An 18,002-nucleotide genomic window follows, 5' to 3' on the forward strand; every position below is an offset into this window, starting at 1 on the left:
CATGTGGCAGTGGGAACTCAGCCTTTCTGGGCCTGCTTCCTCATCAGTGAAATTGAGGATAATAATGGTGCTAATCCCTGGTGTTGCTGAGGATTAAAGCGAGTCCATGTACAATACAGTAAGCACTTACTACACGTTAGTCGCTGCTGTTATTACCTGGCCGTTAAATGTGGTGGCCCCTAAGGCATGGACTTGGGTTTCCTTTTCTTGCCAATCTGTATGTTCTCCCTTGGTCCTCATATCCCCTTGTTTAAAATACCTACCAATCTACTGATGGCTACCAAATTGGGATCAAGACTTTTCTCCTGAACTTGAGAATCAGCTCCCAGCTGGCCATCTCCACCGGTGTATCCCACGGAGGGTGGAACACACCACTGCTTGGTTGTGACTCATGACCCCACTGCCTCCATACCCCAAGCCTGGCCCTGCCTGCAGCCCAGTGACCTAGTCAATCACCTAAGCTCTTATCTGGTGTTAACTGTGACTCTTCCCTCCTTTTCTCTTCCCACACATAATCACCCAGCCTTGCCAATTTTACCTCCTAAATATTTCTTACCTGTCTCTTTCTTTCTTCCGACCCCCATCATCTCTTATCTGCATCATTGACAAAAGAGCTTCCTGGTCTCCTGCTCCCAGTCTCAGCCCATTCAAATCCATCTTTCAAATGCCTACAAGGTGGTCATCCTCACATACATTTCTGCTTGTCACCATCCCTCCACTCCTTAACATCTTTCAGTAGTTCCTGATTGCCTGGAGTCAAATACTGAGTTCTTGGCCCAGCATAATAAGCAAGGCCCTCTGCAGTCAGGCTACTGCCTCCCTAGCCAGCTGTTTCTGTTTTAGTCTCTAGAACACAGATGTGTAGAAAAGGTGCATATGCCACTCAGACCTTCATGACTGTTCCTGAAAACTTGGTTTCTGCTCTCCCTTACCTGCTCCCTCTAAAGTTCCACTCTTTACCCAGCGAACTCCTATCATTTCTATAAGATTTGCCTCCTCCAAGAAACCTGACCTCTTAAGTCATACCTACATCCTGTGTTTGGGGGCCATTTTTTAATGTTGCAGGAATATTCTGCACAATATTTATCATTTGAGTCATTATAAATTGAGACTCCCATCTCAAAAAAAAGTGATATGTATATATATGTGTGTTTATACAATGAAATATTAGCCATAAAAGTAAGGAACTCCTGCCGGGCATGATGGCTCATGCCTGTAATCCCAGCACTTTGGGAGGCTGAGGCGGGCAGATCACGAGGTCAGGAGTTCGAGACCAGCCTAACCAACATGGTGAAACCCCGTCTCTACTAAAAATACAAAAATTAGCTGGGTGTGGTGGTGTGCGCCTGTAATCTCAGCTATTTGGGAGGCTGAGGCGGGAGCATTGCTTGAACCCGGGAGGCAGAGGTTGTGGTAAGCTGAGATCGTGCCATTGCCCTCCAGCCTGGGCAATAAGAGCGAAACTCTGTCTCAAAAAAAAAAAAAAAAAAAGTAAGGAACTCCTGCCATATGTGACAGAATTGATGAATCAGGATAATGGACAAATCGTGAGGACATTATGATAAGTGAAAGAAAGACAAATACTGCATAAAATAGTTAAACTCATAGAAGCATAGAATGGTGGTTGCCAGGGGCTGGCGAGAGGGGAAGTAGGGAGCTGCTGTTCAATGGGTATAAAGTTTCACTTATATAAGGTAAGTGCTAGAGATCTGCTGTACAACATTGTGCTTATAAATATAAAAATTTGTTAAGTGGGTAGATCTCATGTTACCTGTTCTTACTCAATAAAAAAATTGAAAAAGATGGACAGATCAGCAAAACATTAAGATAAGTCAGCCTGATATTAACCCATAACCTTAATGCTCCCCTAGGTCTCTTTTGCTTCTGCAGGTTAACTGGAAATCTTAGCAGTATTCTCACAGCTTTTGATGTTTTGTATCAGCTCTTTTATTTAACTCAAATATTCACCCAAAATAATTTAAGATTTTTTTTCACTTGCTTGTGAGAGCAACCTGTTTCAAATTAGCTTAAGCACAAAGGAAAATGATTTCTCCTCATAAGCAGGAAGTCTACAGTAGTTCCAGCTTCCACATGGCTGGGTCCAGATGTCCGATATTATCAGGACTCTCTCCATCTCAACTCCCCTCAGCTTCATCATACACAAAGGATCTCTGCATGTAGTAGGCAAAAAGCTGCAGGGAGCCCCAAACGCAGCTCAAGGTGGCTTAGCTGTCACTGTTCATATGGGAATCTCAAGGACGGGCATGGGGTAGGGGGGACACTGTGAATGAGACCTGCCGGAGTCATGTAGAGAGGAGAAGGGGCGAAGCTGCCCCTAAATAAATTAGGAAAGCATTTGGGAACTAATGCTGAGTTCATTCATGAGTTCACTAATGCTGAGACAGAAGCTATACCTATCACAGTCCAAACTCCAGTGCTCTCAGTTTTTGCTTTTTTAATACCTGCTATACTTTCACATTGGCATTATCACACAAATAACGTTTACTTCAAAGTAGTTCAGTCACCCAATTATAAAAACACTTGGACCAATTTAACCAGACTGTATGGGATATCACATATGAAATGTGTCTCTTTGGAATCATGGCCATTAAGGGGAAAAATAAAAATTAGCTATCTTTATATAGCATCCAGGGAGAGGAATCAGAACAAGGTAAGTCACCTGAGACAGCTCCCTGTGCTTTCAATTTCCATCCTCCAGCTGGATAAACAAGTACCAAGAGTACACTGAAACTGTTGCATCACTTTGCAGAAATAAAGCACCAAAAGGGATCTCCCAACACTCTAACTCCTTACATTCCTTATTTTAAAGTTGGAGTCTAAAACATGACCAACCATTAATTATCCACTCTACCTCTGCAAGTCCTCGACCCATGGAACATTCTTTCTTTCTTTATATCTTAGCTCTTGAACAGCCAAGAACATCATGTAACACATTGATAAAGACATATCCAAGAAAAACTATTTCATGAGCACCTATGTGACAGGCATTCTTCTGGATGCTAGAGACAGCAGTGAACACATTTCCCACAAGAACTTAACTCCACCTCTACTAAGTTATAGCTGTTGATTATCGAATATAGCCATGATTATAAGCTGTTTTTTCCACTCAATTTCACTATTACTTTTTATTGACTTCAACTTACTTAAACATTGTTCAACATAATTCTTCCATTACTTCCTAGGAATTTGTCAGTAACTCTGTCCTATTTCCTGTGAAGTAGTATCCTTAACATTGGTCCTTTGTTTTTCATATGTGGCTTTTTTTTTTCTTTTTATTGAGACAGAGTTTTGCTCTTGTTGCCCAGGCTGGAGTGCAATGGCACGATCTGGGCTCACTGCAACCTCCACCTCCCAGGTTCAAGCAATTCTCCTGCCTCAGCCTCCCAAGTAGCTGGGATTACAGGCATGTGCCACCATGCCCAGCTAATTTTGTATTTTTAGTAGAGACAGGGTTTCACTATGTTGGTCAGGCTGGTCTCAAACTCCTGACCTCAGGTGATCCACCTACCTCGGCCTCCCAAAGTGTTGGGATTACAGGAGTGAGGCACCGTGCCTGGCCTCATATGTGGCTTTCACTAGTAATTCAGTGATTATCCCCATCGGGTTTCCCAGTGGGATATACAATTCCTTTTGAATCATTAATTTTCTACAACTAAATACAACTAAATAAAGGGGAGATAGAAAACAATTTTTTGTTTTTTAAAAATTTTATATAGAGACAGGGTCTCGCTCTGTTGCCCAGGCTGGTTTCAAACTCCTGAGCTCAAGCAATCCTCTTGCCTTGGCCTCCCAAAGTGCTGGGATTACAGGCATGAGCCACCTCACTGGTCTGGTTTGTTTTTTTGTTTTTGTTTTCTTAAGATAGGGTCTCATTCTGTTGCCCAGGGTGTTGTACAGTGGTGCAAACACAGCTCACTACAGCCTCAATCTTCTGAGCTCAAAGGATCCTCCTGCCTCAGCCCCCTGAATAGCAGAGACCACAGGTATGCACCACCATGCCTAGCTAGTTTTTTTATTTTTTGTAGAAACAGGGTCTTGCTTTGTTCCCCAGGTTGGTCTCGAACTCCTGGGCTGAAGCAATCCTCCTGCCTCAGCCTCCCAAAGTGCTGGGATTACAGGTGTGAGCCACCAAGCCCAGCCTGGGAACAACTGTTGAGTGAAACTCTCTAAATCACAACTCTAACTGTAGTTTTTATTTTGAGAAATGGCTGGGCACAGTGGCTCAAGTCTGTAATCCCAGCACTTTGGGAGGCTGACGCAGGCAAACTGCATTAGCCCAGGAGTTCAAGACCAGCCTGGGCAACATGGCCCATCTCTAATAAAAGCACAAAAATAGCTGGGTGTGCTGGCGTGCACCTATAATCCCAGCTACTCGGGAAGCTGAGGTGGGAAGATCACTTGAGCCCAGGAGGTGGAGGTTGCAGTGAGCAGATTGTGCCACTGCACTCCAGTCAGGGTGAATGAGTGAGACCCTGTCTCCAAAAAAAGAAAAAAAAAGAAATAAAGAAAAAAGAAATAAAGTCAATTCAAATCCACAAATTACAATTTGACCCACAAGGACAACGACTATGTAGCTATAATAATTCAAAGCACAGCCTGTTATTTCTTTTGCTGTCTTCTTAATACTTAAAATATTTGCCATTTGTAAGATTACATATAGGTTTAAGTGATTGGGTGAATATAAATATTTCTGAATTTTTGCCACAGCTTAGCAAAATTTATAAACCAATGCTCGTCATCATCCAGGTAAGCTAGAAAACCAAGATTATCATTTTCTGCTTTCCCCAGGATGGTTCTTCATTATCTGCTAGTATATTTGTCTAATTCCTTTGCATGTTCATTTAACAAAGTTACTTTGCCCTCAAAGTAAATATCATAAAATACTACCCTTAATATTTACTTCTGATTACTTTACAAATGTCTAGTATTGGGCCGGGCACGGTGGCTCATGCCTATAATCCCAGCACTTTGGGAGGCCGAGGTGGGTGGATCAGCTGAGGTCAGGAGTTCGAGACCAGCCTGACCAACATGGTGAAATGCCATCTCTACTAAAAAATACAAAAATTAGCTGGGCATGGTGGCGGGCGCCTGTAATCCTAGCTACTTGGGAGGCTGAGGCAGGAAAATCGCTTGAACCTGGGAGGCATAGGTTGCAGTGAGCCGAGATTGCACCATTGCACTCCAGCCTGGGTGACAGAACAAGACTCCATCTCAAAAAAATAAAAAAATAAATAAATAAAGTCTAGTATTTTCCAATAGCAAGACTCACTATTTGGTCTCTCACATTAAATTAAGTGTACACATGGGATGCACTCACGTATTTACTCAGAACCTGCCATTCCATCCATCGCCAGAGGTCCAGGAAAAGATAAGAAAGAAAACATGCTCTGTAATGCTGCTGAATACTAGTTTTTACTGAAGACCAGGCTTCACTTAATTAAAACTGTACTTTAGAAATACCTTAGTAGTTGAGGGGACAGCAGGTGTGTGGTTAAACAAAAGGTAAAGCAAGCTTCATTGTCTAAATAAAATGACAAAATGTGATATATGTTTAACAACAAAAAAAACTTTATTGAATTACAAATTTTAAAATGGATCACTTAAAAGTGAGATTATTTTATTCTGAAACATTATTTCAAAAATGTACTTTGTTTTTGAAATAAAACAAAATCTTCAACTATGAACTGACAAAATAGAGGTGAGTTGGTACCAGTGGGCCAATTCTTAACACGGACATTTAAAAATGCTGCTTTCTGTATTACAACAAAATGATATGCAATAAGAAATTGGAAAAAGGGAGCAAAGGAGAGTGCAAAGCATGTACTGAGGTCTTTCTACGGGTGCCTGACAGAATGCAGATTCAGCATAAAATGTAGACTTTGCAACAGTGGCCTTTAAAGTATGCTAGAGCAAGTGTACCCTAGGGAACCTATGTCAAAACAATTTTTGTCTTACTCCAAACAGAAAAAATGGTACACACTTTAACAAAAGCAAAACTTAATTGTAAGATCTGTACTGTAAAGCTACTTGCTATAGCCCATATATTCAGTTTGTTCAACAATCTCACTCATGACAGAAAAAGTCAGCAAATAAGACTTGGGACAAAATTATTTTCTATCAGTCTCCACATGGAAAGACCACAGCTTTAATGAATTATACAATCCTTAAGATTAATCCTTGGTCAGTATAGATTTCCGAATCAAAATCTAGTCATGAACTGTTTACAATAGCTATACTACACTAAGATGCTAAACATTTTCTTTCCAGTATGTCTTCCTAAGAGGGGAAAAAAATAGTGGGAAGTTTTCATCTTTGCCTATGAGGGGATTTATGAAAAGCCTTCTAAACTACAACAGTGTTCTTCTGCAAAACTAAAACACATTATAAAGTCAAACAGGTAAATTAACAGGAAAACCAAACTGATCTCAATAAAGTCTTGTTTCCAAAAATCTATTAAGAACAAGTAATATACATGTACAAGAAATTACAAGAAATGATGATCACGGTTAGTTACAGATGCAAAATAATATCTAATATTCCAAGCTTGTGAACATAATAATTAAAATCAAATTCATAAGCTACCTCAAAATTATGTACATTTTAGATAAGCTGGTCAAGTATTATTTGAATACACACCATATTTGGTAAACCTAAAATTATATTACCTTTTCTCCTCCTTTAATATTTGTAGCTACATGCCAATATGGAAAAAAATGTATTTTCATTTATGTATTAATAACAGAGAGTAACAGAATTTCTACTGTGTATGTTTCACAGTGTAAAAGAAAAAAAGTTAAGGTATATTTTCCTTTAAGAAAGAAGAAATATTGCCAAGAGTTTAATTAATATCAACTTACTTATAAAAACAGAAAAAATATGTTTTGAAACAGGTACCATAAAATTATTATATGGTCTCCCTACTGATCTGAAACTACAGAAGGCATTTAAGGAAGGGATGTTAGGTCAAAAACAAAGTCTAACCCAAGTTGCTTTAAAAATTTGATTTGCAGGAAAACTAGTTGCTTGGCCTAGTTTAAAGCTAGTTACAAAATCCGTTTTCTTAATGGTCCAGATATTTTGCCAATTCTTCCAACTCAACAGAACTGTCAAAAAAGAAAAAATATTTTGTAAGACCTTTAAATACCAATAAGGTACATTCCCCATTTAATACAGCATACACCTGATATTGCTTTTAAAAAAGATGCATTTTTGAAAAAGATGCTGTATTTTTCACACATAATAATCACCTATCTTAAGTGCCTGACTTTCCCAACTTAGAACTACTAGGAACATACAACTAAAGAACTTGTATAAAACAATTTCAGCATTTTTATTAAATACCTCTTTATAATGTTTTTAAGGTTAAAAAAAAAAAAATAACAATTCCAAAATTGAACTTCTAAAATATGCCACTCTAGGCATCAGCTTTCTATCCTAAAATTGAACTTTCTTAAATTCAATTAAGTACTATGTCAAAACTTGTGTCACAAAGTGCATGTATTCAAAGCAAACTGCACTGTACACCTCATCACCATAATAAAAATGATCCATCAGCTGGGCACGGTGGCTCACACCTGTAATCTCAGCACTTTGGGAGGCCGAGATGGGCAGATCATGAGGTCAGGAGATCAAGACCATCCTGGCCAACGTGGTGAAACCCCGTCTCTACTAAAATACAAAAAATTAGCCAGGCATGGTGGTCCCAGGTACTCGGAAGGCTGAGACAGGGGAATCTCTTGAACCCGGGGCCACAGAACAAGACTCCATCTCAAACAACAACAACAACAAAAAAGATCCATCATGCAAAACAAATCCAAGAGAACAGGCCAAATTTTCTCAACACGATTGAAAAAGAAGGTGAATGTCCCTCTCCTAGACCAATGACAACTTCTGCAACCTGAGATGGGTAGGAAATACTGTTTCAAACCATGAAGACACTTTCAGTAGCAGTAATCTTTCCAGCTCAGAACTAAATCTTTGTACGTAATAAGGGTACTGGGCCGGCCACGGTGGCTCACGCCTGTAATCCCAGCACTTTCGGAGGCCAAGGCAGGCAGATAACCTGAGGTCAGGAGTTCAAGAGCAGCCTGGCCAACATGGTGAAACGCCATCTCTACTAAAAATACAAAAATTAGCTGGGCATGGTGGCACATTCCTGTAATCCCAGCTACTTGGGAGGCTGAGGCAGGAGAATCGCTTGAACCTGGGAGGCGAAGGTTGCAGTGAGCTGAGATAGCGCCACTGCACTCCAGCCTGGGCAACACAGTGAGGATCTATCTCAAAAAAATTAATGAATAAATAAAACAAAATAGGTACTGGCCCCAACCCCTTAAAGTGGAGTTGAAGAAGCCAAATGGATATCTTCGACATGGTTTGGGACTCTGGCCCAAATGGCTTCTAGTTCATTTCTGATTTTCAGAAAGTGCTTTAAGCTAAGTGAATAATTCAAAATGAGCATTAAACTGAAAAGTCTATGTAAGTATAAATGAAAAAAAAAAGAATCTTGTACAAACTTCAGAAAAACTAATAAAAATAGCCAGCATTTTTAGAACACCAACAATTATCAGGCACACTAAATATATTATCTCTACTCTTCATCACAATCCGAAATGTAGGTACTATTTACATTTAATACATAAGAACAATATAGTTCAGTAATGGGAAGTGGCAAAGGAGTTCAAAATCAGTTTGTATGATTCCAAAGACTAAACTCCTACCACGTAAGCCTCCCAAACTCACACCCTTAACATCCTCATCTATAATAATGATTAAAATGTTTTTAGTACTGATATGTATTTCTGCTCCCAAATTTAAATTTTATGCTTTTGTTTCACAAAATCCCTCAAGAATGAATCATTTAAATAATATAAACTTGCCTGTGTGGGACTAATTTCAAGAGCACACAGGCAATATGAAGGCTTAGTGAAAAGCCTACCAAATGACAGCAGTGCTCATCTGTAATTTCTAAAATAAACACTAAAATCATTGGGTCTGATTTCAACAAGGGAAAAAAAATTTTCCAAAATCAAAATCTATTAAAACAAGTAATACACATGTATAGATTTTCTGGAAGTACAAGAGTCAAAACAACTTAATGAATATAGTATAAATAGGACAGTGATATAATAATTGAACAGTTAAGATTCACTCCCCATTTCCTGCACCAAAACAAATAAAGGTGGTAAAGTCAAGTTAATACTCTTTATTTCTAGTAGGGTAACAAGATGGTATATTCCATTACAAGTAGTCAGGGAGTACAAGAGTACTGTATAGTGTGAGCATATCTGTATATATTTAGATATCTAGGCAGACCTATGAAAAGACCAGAAGAAATCTTTCTATTTTAAGTGAGTATATAATATGAATCCAAGAGAGTCCATACCTTCCATCGATTTCCACATTCATTACAGACAACAAATGTTGTCATTGGTTCATCAGCACTACGGGTTTGTACCTGCAGCAAAATTAAATTAAATGTACTTTTTGCAGTACTATTAAAAAACCCAACCCAAATAATGTTATACATAAAGATATATATTTAATAAATATAATGGTACCACAATAAAATGAATAGAAGTCTGAAACAAGTTCAAATAAGCTAAATAATGTCAACAGAGCACGCACTTCCAAACTTCATTTTCCTAAGTCCTTCTTTGTCTTTCCTGTTTAATATATCCCAGATAAGTGGGAAAATCCTCTAAAGTCACACCTTATATTTTTTATAAATAGCTAATAAATATTTTAAAAATTCATCAGTAAGTTATTTCGAATAAGGATCTCAAAAACAATTTCATCAGTAAGAAGCACAGAAATGAATAAATTTAAACATATGTCAATATTCTCTTACAAATTAAGAAGATGTAAAAATTGAGAATATCTCAGTCTGACAAATATAACTCCAACAACCTTTCTAAAAGTTAGGCAGCATTGTCTGTAACCTAGAAACTTGATATCTAATCTATTTCTAAGATGGCAATTAAAAACACAAAAATACAAAGGATGTTTAAAGAGTATAATTTTATAACAGCACAACACTAAAAACAAATATCCAACAGGGAAGTAATGACATAAAGTAAAAGTATATCCATCTGATGAAATATTACACAGCCAGTAAGATGCTTACAAAGGTTTTTGGGTTTTTTTAAAGAAAAGGGAGAGAACTCCAGATGTGTTTGGTTTCTTCAAGCATTTAATGTTCAGCAAGATCAAAAGTTAAAAATGGCAACAAACAAGAAATAATCAGTGACCAACAGTTTAGGCACATTGCAAAGAACCTGAGATTTTGGGAAATGCCAGAAAAGAATCAAAAAGTCAAAATTGGCCGGGCATGGTAGCTCACGCCTGTAATCCCAGCACTTCGGGAGGCTGAGGCAGGTGGATCACTTGAGGTCAGGAGTTCGAGACCAGCCTGACCAACACGGTGAAACCTCGTCTTTACTAAAACTACAAAAATTAGCCAGGTGTGGTGGTGGGCACCTGTAATCCCAGCTACTGGGGAGGCTGAGGCAGAAGAATAACTTGAACCCCTGAGGCGGAGGCTGCAGTGAGCCGAGGTCACGCCACTGCACTCCAGCCCAGCAACAGAGCAAGATTCCATCTCAAAAAAAAAAGTTCAAGTTGAACTATGCTGTGGATAAGAGGGTACCACATTAACCATAGCACTGCAGAGTACTTGAAACGTTTTTATGACCTTTCAGATTCTGATTCTGATCTTTCTGATAAAGATAGCAAAGCAATGAATCAAAAGAAAATACAGAAGAAAAAACTCCAGACTAAAAAAGAAATATTCAAAAAAATCTAGTTGAGAAAAAGAAAGAAACCAAGAAAGCTAATCAAAAGGATTCTGAAAATAAAACTGATATAGATAATTCTGAGAGAATTAAAAAAATGAAAACCATGTAAATCTAAGATAGCTCCCAACATAAGTCCAAAGAAGGAGAGCAAAAAATTTACACAAAAAAGTACAAAAGAGAAAAAAAACATTATTCAACATACTATCAACTCTTCTCTCAAAGAAAGATGAAGGACATTAGACTCGGGCACCTCTGATGTGAAATCTCCCAAGATCAAGTGTTCTAAGACAAGAAGAGAAATGCAACCAGTGGTTCCATCCATAACGGCAAGTGGCAGTGATGGTTATGAAAACTCAACAGACAGTAAAATGTTTGACAAAGATGCTCTAAAGGAAGATTTAGAAAGTGTTAGTAAAACAGGAAGTGATGAGGAATCTAAAAATGAAATTACAAGTATTGGTAGAGCTTCAGGTGATGATGACAATGGAAGTGATGATGAAAATGAAGAGGAGGATGAAGAGAATGGTGAGGATGATGATGCAAGTGACAGCAGCCCTAATCTTGCAAGGGGTAAAGGAAATATAGAAACTAGTTCTGAAAATGAAGATGATATGGCAGATTTGTTTCCAGAAGAATCAAGTTTTGGGCATGCATGGAGAGAATCAGATAAACCTGCTCCTCGTGCTGATGACATTACACATTAATTAGCAGTTTGCAACATGGACTGGGATAGATTAAAGGCAAAAGATTTGCTGACTCTGTTCAACTGATTTAAACCTAAAGGAGGTGTTATATTTCCTGTAAAAATATATTCTTCAGAGTTTGGAAAGGAGAGGGTGAAGGAAGAGCAAGTTTGAGGATCAGTAGAGCTATTAAGTGTTCCTGAAGATGCCCCAAAAAAGGACTGGACCTCTAGAGAAAAACTGAGAGGTTATCAACTCAAATGACTGAAGTACTATTATGCAGTAGTAGACTGTGATTCTCCTGAAACAGCCAGTAAAATTTATGAGGATTGTGGTGGCCTGGAATTTGAAAGTAGTTGTTCTTTCACAGATCTAAGGTTTATACCAGATGATACTACTTTTGATGATGAGCCGAAGGACGTAGCCTCAGAGGTGTATTTAACAGCATATAAACTAAATATATATCATATCTGCTGCAATGGGAACATCAATGGTGGAAATCACTTGGGATGAGACTGAACATGAAAGAATTACAACACTCAACAGGAAGCTTAAAAGGAAGAGCTTTTGGACATGGATTTTCAAGACTACTTAGCTTCCTCTAGCGAAAATGAAGAGGAGATAGAAGAGGAGCTACAAGGTGATGATGAAGTCAATGTAGAAGAAGATGGGAAAACAAAAGTCAGAAGGACGATGAAGAACAAATCACTAAATATAGGCAACTTTTGCAGGTTATTCAAGAAAAAGAAAAGAAAGACAAAGAAAATGATATGGAAATGGAAACGAAGTGGGTTCCAGGTCTTAAAGAAAGTGCAAAGAGATGGTCAAGAACAAATTGAAAGGAAAGGATAAACTGACCCCTTGGGAACAATTTTTAAAGAAGAAAGAAAAAAAGACAAAAAGAAAAAGAAGACTCTTGCTAAAGAGGCCAGTGAAAATTAACTTCCCTCTGATGTTGATATGAATGACCAGTACTTTGCTAAAGAAGTTTAAAAAAATAGGTATAAAGAAAAAAGTGAACAAAATCTGCAAAAGATGGCACATCTCCAGAAGAAGAAACCAAAATAGAAAGATGAAAGGCTGAAATGGCTTTCCTTACTGGATGAGGAGGAGGAAAGTAAGAAACACTTCAATTACAACAAGATTGTGGAGCACCAGAACCTGAGCAAAAAGAAGAAAAAGAAGAAAAAGCAGCTCATGAAAAAAAAGAAATTATTAGAGGATGACTTTGAGGTAAATGTTAGCAATGCATGGTTTCAAGCAATGTACACTTCCCACTTGTTCAATGTGCATCCCTCAGATCCCAATTTCAAGAAAACAAAAGCTGTGGAAAAAACCCTTGAGGAGAAAGCCTGGCAAAGAGAACAGAAAAAACAAGAACTTACTCAGGCAATAAAGAAAAAAGAGGGCCAGGCACAGTGGCTCACGCCTATAATCCCAGCACTTTGGGAGGCCAAGATGGGTGGATCACCTGAGGTCAGGAGTTCGAGACCAGCCTGGCCAACATGGTGAAACCCTGTCTCTACTAAAAATACAAGAAAATTAGCCAGGCATGGTGGCTGGCACCTGTAATCCCAGCTACTCGGGAGGCTGAGGCAGGAGAATCATTTGAACCAGGGAGGTGGGGGTTTCGGTGAAGTCCACTGATCCTGCCTTGTCAATGTTTATTAAATCTGTAAAAACCAAAACAGAGCAGTTTCAAGCAAGAAAAAAAAAGTCAAATAACTGGATGTTATTTCTTTTTGAATTGAAAACATCCCCTAAAATATACAGAAATAGTAGGAGAAATATTTATTGGGAACAAAGCTACCTTTCAAGAATATGAATAAAATCTCATTCTAAACATAGTAAAATTTTTCTTCATAAATAGTTGTTCTTAATTGTGGATGACTGACAAATTTGTATTGTATATTCCTATAGATTAGTCATAATTAAATCAAATTACCTGAATTGTAGGGTTTATAAAATGTTTATATTTTATGAAGTTCAATTCCAACTAGTGGAAAGTTACTCTAGCTTTCTGGTTTTTTTGGGGGGTAGTGGGGGTGGGGGTGGGGGGGGGACGGAGTTTCATTCTTGTCACCCAGGCTGGAGTGCAATGGCATGATCTCAGCTCACTGCAACCTCCACTTCCTGGGTTCAAGCAATTCTCCTGCCTCAGCCTCCTAAGTAGCTAGGATTACAGGCAAGCGCCAACACGCCTGCCTAATTTTTTGTATTTTTAGTAGAGATGGGGGTTTCACCATGTTGGCCAGGCTGTTCTCAAGCTCCTGACCTCAGGTGATCCGCCTGCCTCAGCCTCCCAAAGTGTTGGGATTCCAGATGTGAGCCACCGCACCCAGCCTACTCCAGCTTTTTAAAAGGCTGTTTACAATTCTATGTAAAAATAGAGCAGTATCTACGCTTGTTTGTTTAAAGGTTAGGGATAATTTGAAATATATATATATATAATACATTAATTTCTCTGGGAGCAGGAGGCAGATTTAAATAGCTATTAAAATAATTTATTTTTCTAGCCATAAAAGATGGAAGAACTTTTTGTTGTTTATCATGTTAAGTTTGTTTATGAAATTAATTTGTAAATAAAAGAGCAAAATATTTTTATTATTTTTGTATAGCACTGATTTATTTTATACATCTCAAACTATTCTCTGGAAAAATTTTAAAAGAGAGGGAAATGCTTACATTATGGTAGCTAAGTTAAAAGAAGAGCATAAAATAGTTTTTACAGTACTTAATTCCAACTATACACAGAAAAAAATTCACTAAATATTGCAAACAACAAAATACTGGTAATTGTTCTCTTTGGAAGGCAGCTTAATGGATGACTTAAATTTATTACTCATATTTTTCTGTATTTTCCTAATTTTTCTATAAGCCATTACTACTGCAATTCCACTGTTGGGTACATAACCAAAAGAAAGGAAGTAGAGTCTCAAAGAGGTATCTGTACACTTAAGTTCACAGTAGCATTATTCACAATAGCTAAAAAGTAGAAGGAACCCAAGTGTCCATCAACAGATGAATATACAAAATGTGGTATGAACATACAATGGAATATTATCCAGCCGTAAAAAGTAGGGAAAGTCTGACATATATCACAACACAGATAAACCTTGCAGATATTATGCTAAGTGAAATAGGCCAGTCACAATAAGACAAACATTCTATGATTCTACTTATATGAAGTACTTGGTATAGTCAAATTCTGAGAGTCAGAGAGCAGAATGGTGGTTGTTGGGCTGGGGAGAGGGGAATGGGGAGTTACTGTTTAATGGGTAAAGAGTTTCACTTTTGCAAGAGGAAAAGTGTTCCGGAGACTGGATGTACAGCACTGTGAATGCTCTACTACTGAACAGTACACTTAAAAATAACTGGTTAAGTTGGGAAATTTTAGGTTACATATAAATTCTACCACAACTACTTTTTTTAAAACTTAAAAAGAGAACTCAGCAAGAAAAAAAGCTAATATGATTTTTAAAAACTTAATCTATACAAGATTATAAATTTCTGAAGTTCTAAACTGAAGAGAATTACCAGAATCAAAGGTCTCAAAAACAGAAAGGTTATTTCTCTGAATGAAGATGACAAAGCATTATTAAAGTTAAATGTTATTCTTAAGTTGTGGCAAGAACCTAAATACTAATAATGTTGCAGTTAGAATAAGGTATACTGAAATTCCGTAAGAGATGATAAAATACCAGTTTATCACCACTTCAAAGATCAAAGGTTCATGACACCGGTAAACTATTAACATGCCTTCCAACTCAAAGGCCCAAAGGAAGACAAAGCAGCACCATCCTCAGAACAGCAGCGTTCTACTCACTTAAGGCCTTCAGATGAAAATGGTTTGAAAACTCCTGCTATACTTTATATATACTTAATTCTGATATCCAGGGCCCCAAAAGTGGACATGAATCTTTTGCTCTCTGGGAAAAATTTTAATCTCCTCTTGGGTACGTAGTAATCAAGAGTTACACTTATTTCTTTTACATCTGTTATTTCCATGAGAACTTTGAGAGTTTTCTATCTGAAGCGAACACTTTGTGATTCTAAGAAAATCATACTGGCTCCAACTTTAGGCTGGGTTCCTTTTGCTAAAAGAAACAAACTTGGTATTTATGTTTTTTGTCTTAGCTATTTATAATTTGATTATGTAAGTATATCACTTTTACTTTTTAAAGAAGTTTTAACTTTTAAATAACTATTTATACTTAATACTTTCTAATAGATGGCATTTTTTAGGGTGCAATTTTTATTGTTAAGATATTTCTACCTGATTAAAAGAAAATAGAGCAATTCAAACTCAGAATTTTCTGAGACCACTTTTATCAGTGTTGATGCATTTTAGTAACAATCAGTAGTAAAACTGCTACAAAATGAAACATGGAAATACACAACTGTGACTTAATGAGGCTTCAAACAGGTAAAGGACTTCAGACTAGTTAAATTAAGTATATCTGAAAATAGAGATTACATGTCTGTAAACAGTAGAAAAGAGGCAGAAGCTCATATAACATTTTCCATATGTGTTTAGAAAAAGGAAAACAAAGGCTGGGCGTGGTGGCTCACGCCTGTAATCCCAGCACTTTGGGAGGCTGAGACAGGCAGATCACGAGGTCAGGAGATCGAGACCACCCTGGCTAACACAGTGAAACCCCGTCTCTACTAAAAATACAAAAAAATTAGCCAGGCGTTGTGGTGGGTGCCTGTAGTCCCAGCTACTCGGGAGGCTGAGGCAGGAGAACGGCGTGAACCCGGGAGGCGGAGTTTGCAGTGAGCTGAGATGGCGCCACTGCACTCCAGCCTGGGCAATAGAGTGAGACTCTGTCTCAAAGAAAAAGGAAAACAAAAATATTTGCATGTATACACATAAAATACCTAAGTTTCACAACAAACTAGTAACCTTGCTTTACTTTCAGGGAGGGAGAACGAGGTGGCCACAGGCAAAAGTGGGAATGGAATTTCCTACTCATAAACTTTTGTACTTTTTCAATTTTTAACCACAAAAATAACTACCAACAAAATTTGTTTTAAGTAAAGGCCCCTTTAGAGTTTAGTGATGCTATTTTTTAAGTGCTTAATGTTCTATCGGTGAAAAAATCAATTCCCCAAATCTACTATCTGAAACATAGTAAGTTGTCCCTTAAGGAGACAATCTTGAGTTTACAGCAGATAACATAGCACAAAAACCTATTTGGCAAATGAAATTAAGACAGTGATAAAAAAAATTTTCACATATGCACATGCAACCAAAATAACTATAACACGGTTTTCAGCTGTTAAAGAATAAAAAGGCTAGTCATATCGTACATAAATGTAAGTTATCAATATTACAAAAAGGAACAAATTATCCAGAAGACAGTTAAGCCTAAAGTACTCATAAGCCATGTGGAGGAGCGTGAAGAACTTTCCTTAAATTATATAGTCCTGCAAAATAAAAAGGATTATGGCCAATTTACCTAGTAACCAATACAATTGCTTATGAACTTTTAAAAAAGAACATGGTCATTTTATTAATTCTTATATTTTATAAATTTTGACATAGCTTTCATAGTAACTATTTCTGTGAAAGTATAAATATATCAACTTGGTTTTAGTTAACTAGAATCAGTATTAAGAAAGCATTCTGACAAGGCACAGAGGCTCATGCCTGTATTCCCAGTACTTCGGGAGGCCAAGGTGAGAGGATCATTCGAGTCTGGAAATTTGGGATCAGCCTGGACAATGCAGCAAGACCCCATCTCCGCAAAAAAATAATAATAATTTTTTTTAAAAAAAATCATTCTTACACTTAAGAAAGAAATCTTATCTCCTCTTGAACTAGTCCCCAGTTATCCATGGTTTTGCTTTCCATGGTTTCAGTTATCTATGGTCTGAAAATATTAAATGAAAAATTCCAGAAATAAACAATTCATCAGTTTTAAACTGTACATTGTTCTGAGTAGCATGAAGACAGCCTGTACCATCCTACTCTGTCTCACTTGGAATACAGATCATCCCTTTGTCCAGTGTGTGTCACTGTAATGCTACCTACCCATTAGTCATCCACATCATCAGGGCTCGATGAGGCAGGACCACCTGAAGCAGATGAGCCTCCTTCTGATGGATCATCAGAAGGTCAACAGCAGCCTAACACTTAGTCACAATGCCTACATCATTCACTTCGCCTCATCTCATCAAATGAACAGGGGTGAGTACAGTGCAAGACACTGTGAGAGACAGAAAGACTACACTCATATTACTTTCATAACAGTATCTTGTTATAATTATTCTATTTGATTAAGTTATTATTGTTAATCTCTTCCTATGCCTAATTTATAAATAAAACTTATCAGTACATATGTATCGGAAAAAACGTGGTATACATAGGGTTAGGTACTATCCGTGGTTTCAGGCATCCACTCAGGGTCTTAGAACATATCCCTCCATGGATAAGTGAGGGACTATCATACTGGTAATTATCTTTGCTATTTATTTTAAAACAGGAGTTGCAAGCATTTTT

At 37.6% G+C, this 18,002-nt stretch overlaps 2 protein-coding genes and 1 pseudogene across 8 annotated transcripts in view; 1 reads left to right on the forward strand and 2 right to left on the reverse strand.

Annotated features, from left to right (window-relative positions):
- Positions 1–5,567: 5,567 nt before the first annotated feature.
- Positions 5,568–18,002, reverse strand: part of LYPLA1-TCEA1 (LYPLA1-TCEA1 readthrough) — a 135,392-nt gene continuing 122,957 nt past the window's right edge. For all 4 annotated transcript variants that reach the window (NM_001425841.1, NM_001425839.1, NM_001425842.1 and 1 more), the window contains 2 exons: positions 9,404–9,475; positions 5,568–7,124 (listed from right to left, as the gene is read on the reverse strand). In NM_001425841.1, coding sequence (NP_001412770.1) covers positions 7,116–7,124; positions 9,404–9,475 — 81 coding nt within the window. In that variant the 3' untranslated portion in view covers positions 5,568–7,115. The remainder of the gene's footprint in view (positions 7,125–9,403; positions 9,476–18,002) is intronic.
- Positions 5,568–18,002, reverse strand: part of TCEA1 (transcription elongation factor A1) — a 55,893-nt gene continuing 43,458 nt past the window's right edge. For 3 of the 4 annotated variants that reach the window (NR_109902.2, NM_201437.3, NM_006756.4), the window contains 2 exons: positions 9,404–9,475; positions 5,568–7,124 (listed from right to left, as the gene is read on the reverse strand). Coding sequence is in view for 2 of the 4 variants with exons in the window: in NM_201437.3 (NP_958845.1) it covers positions 7,116–7,124; positions 9,404–9,475 (81 nt within the window). In the remaining 2 variants the exon portion in view is untranslated. Of the gene's footprint in view, positions 7,125–9,403; positions 9,476–17,534; positions 17,710–18,002 lie in introns of all 4 variants that reach the window. The other variant, NR_109901.2, reaches the window with a different exon arrangement.
- LOC100131254 (ESF1, nucleolar pre-rRNA processing protein, homolog (S. cerevisiae) pseudogene) lies at positions 10,610–12,904 on the forward strand (annotated as a pseudogene).

Source organism: Homo sapiens, chromosome 8 (assembly GCF_000001405.40).
Source record: "Homo sapiens chromosome 8, GRCh38.p14 Primary Assembly".
NCBI classification, from domain to species: Eukaryota; Metazoa; Chordata; class Mammalia; order Primates; family Hominidae; genus Homo; species Homo sapiens.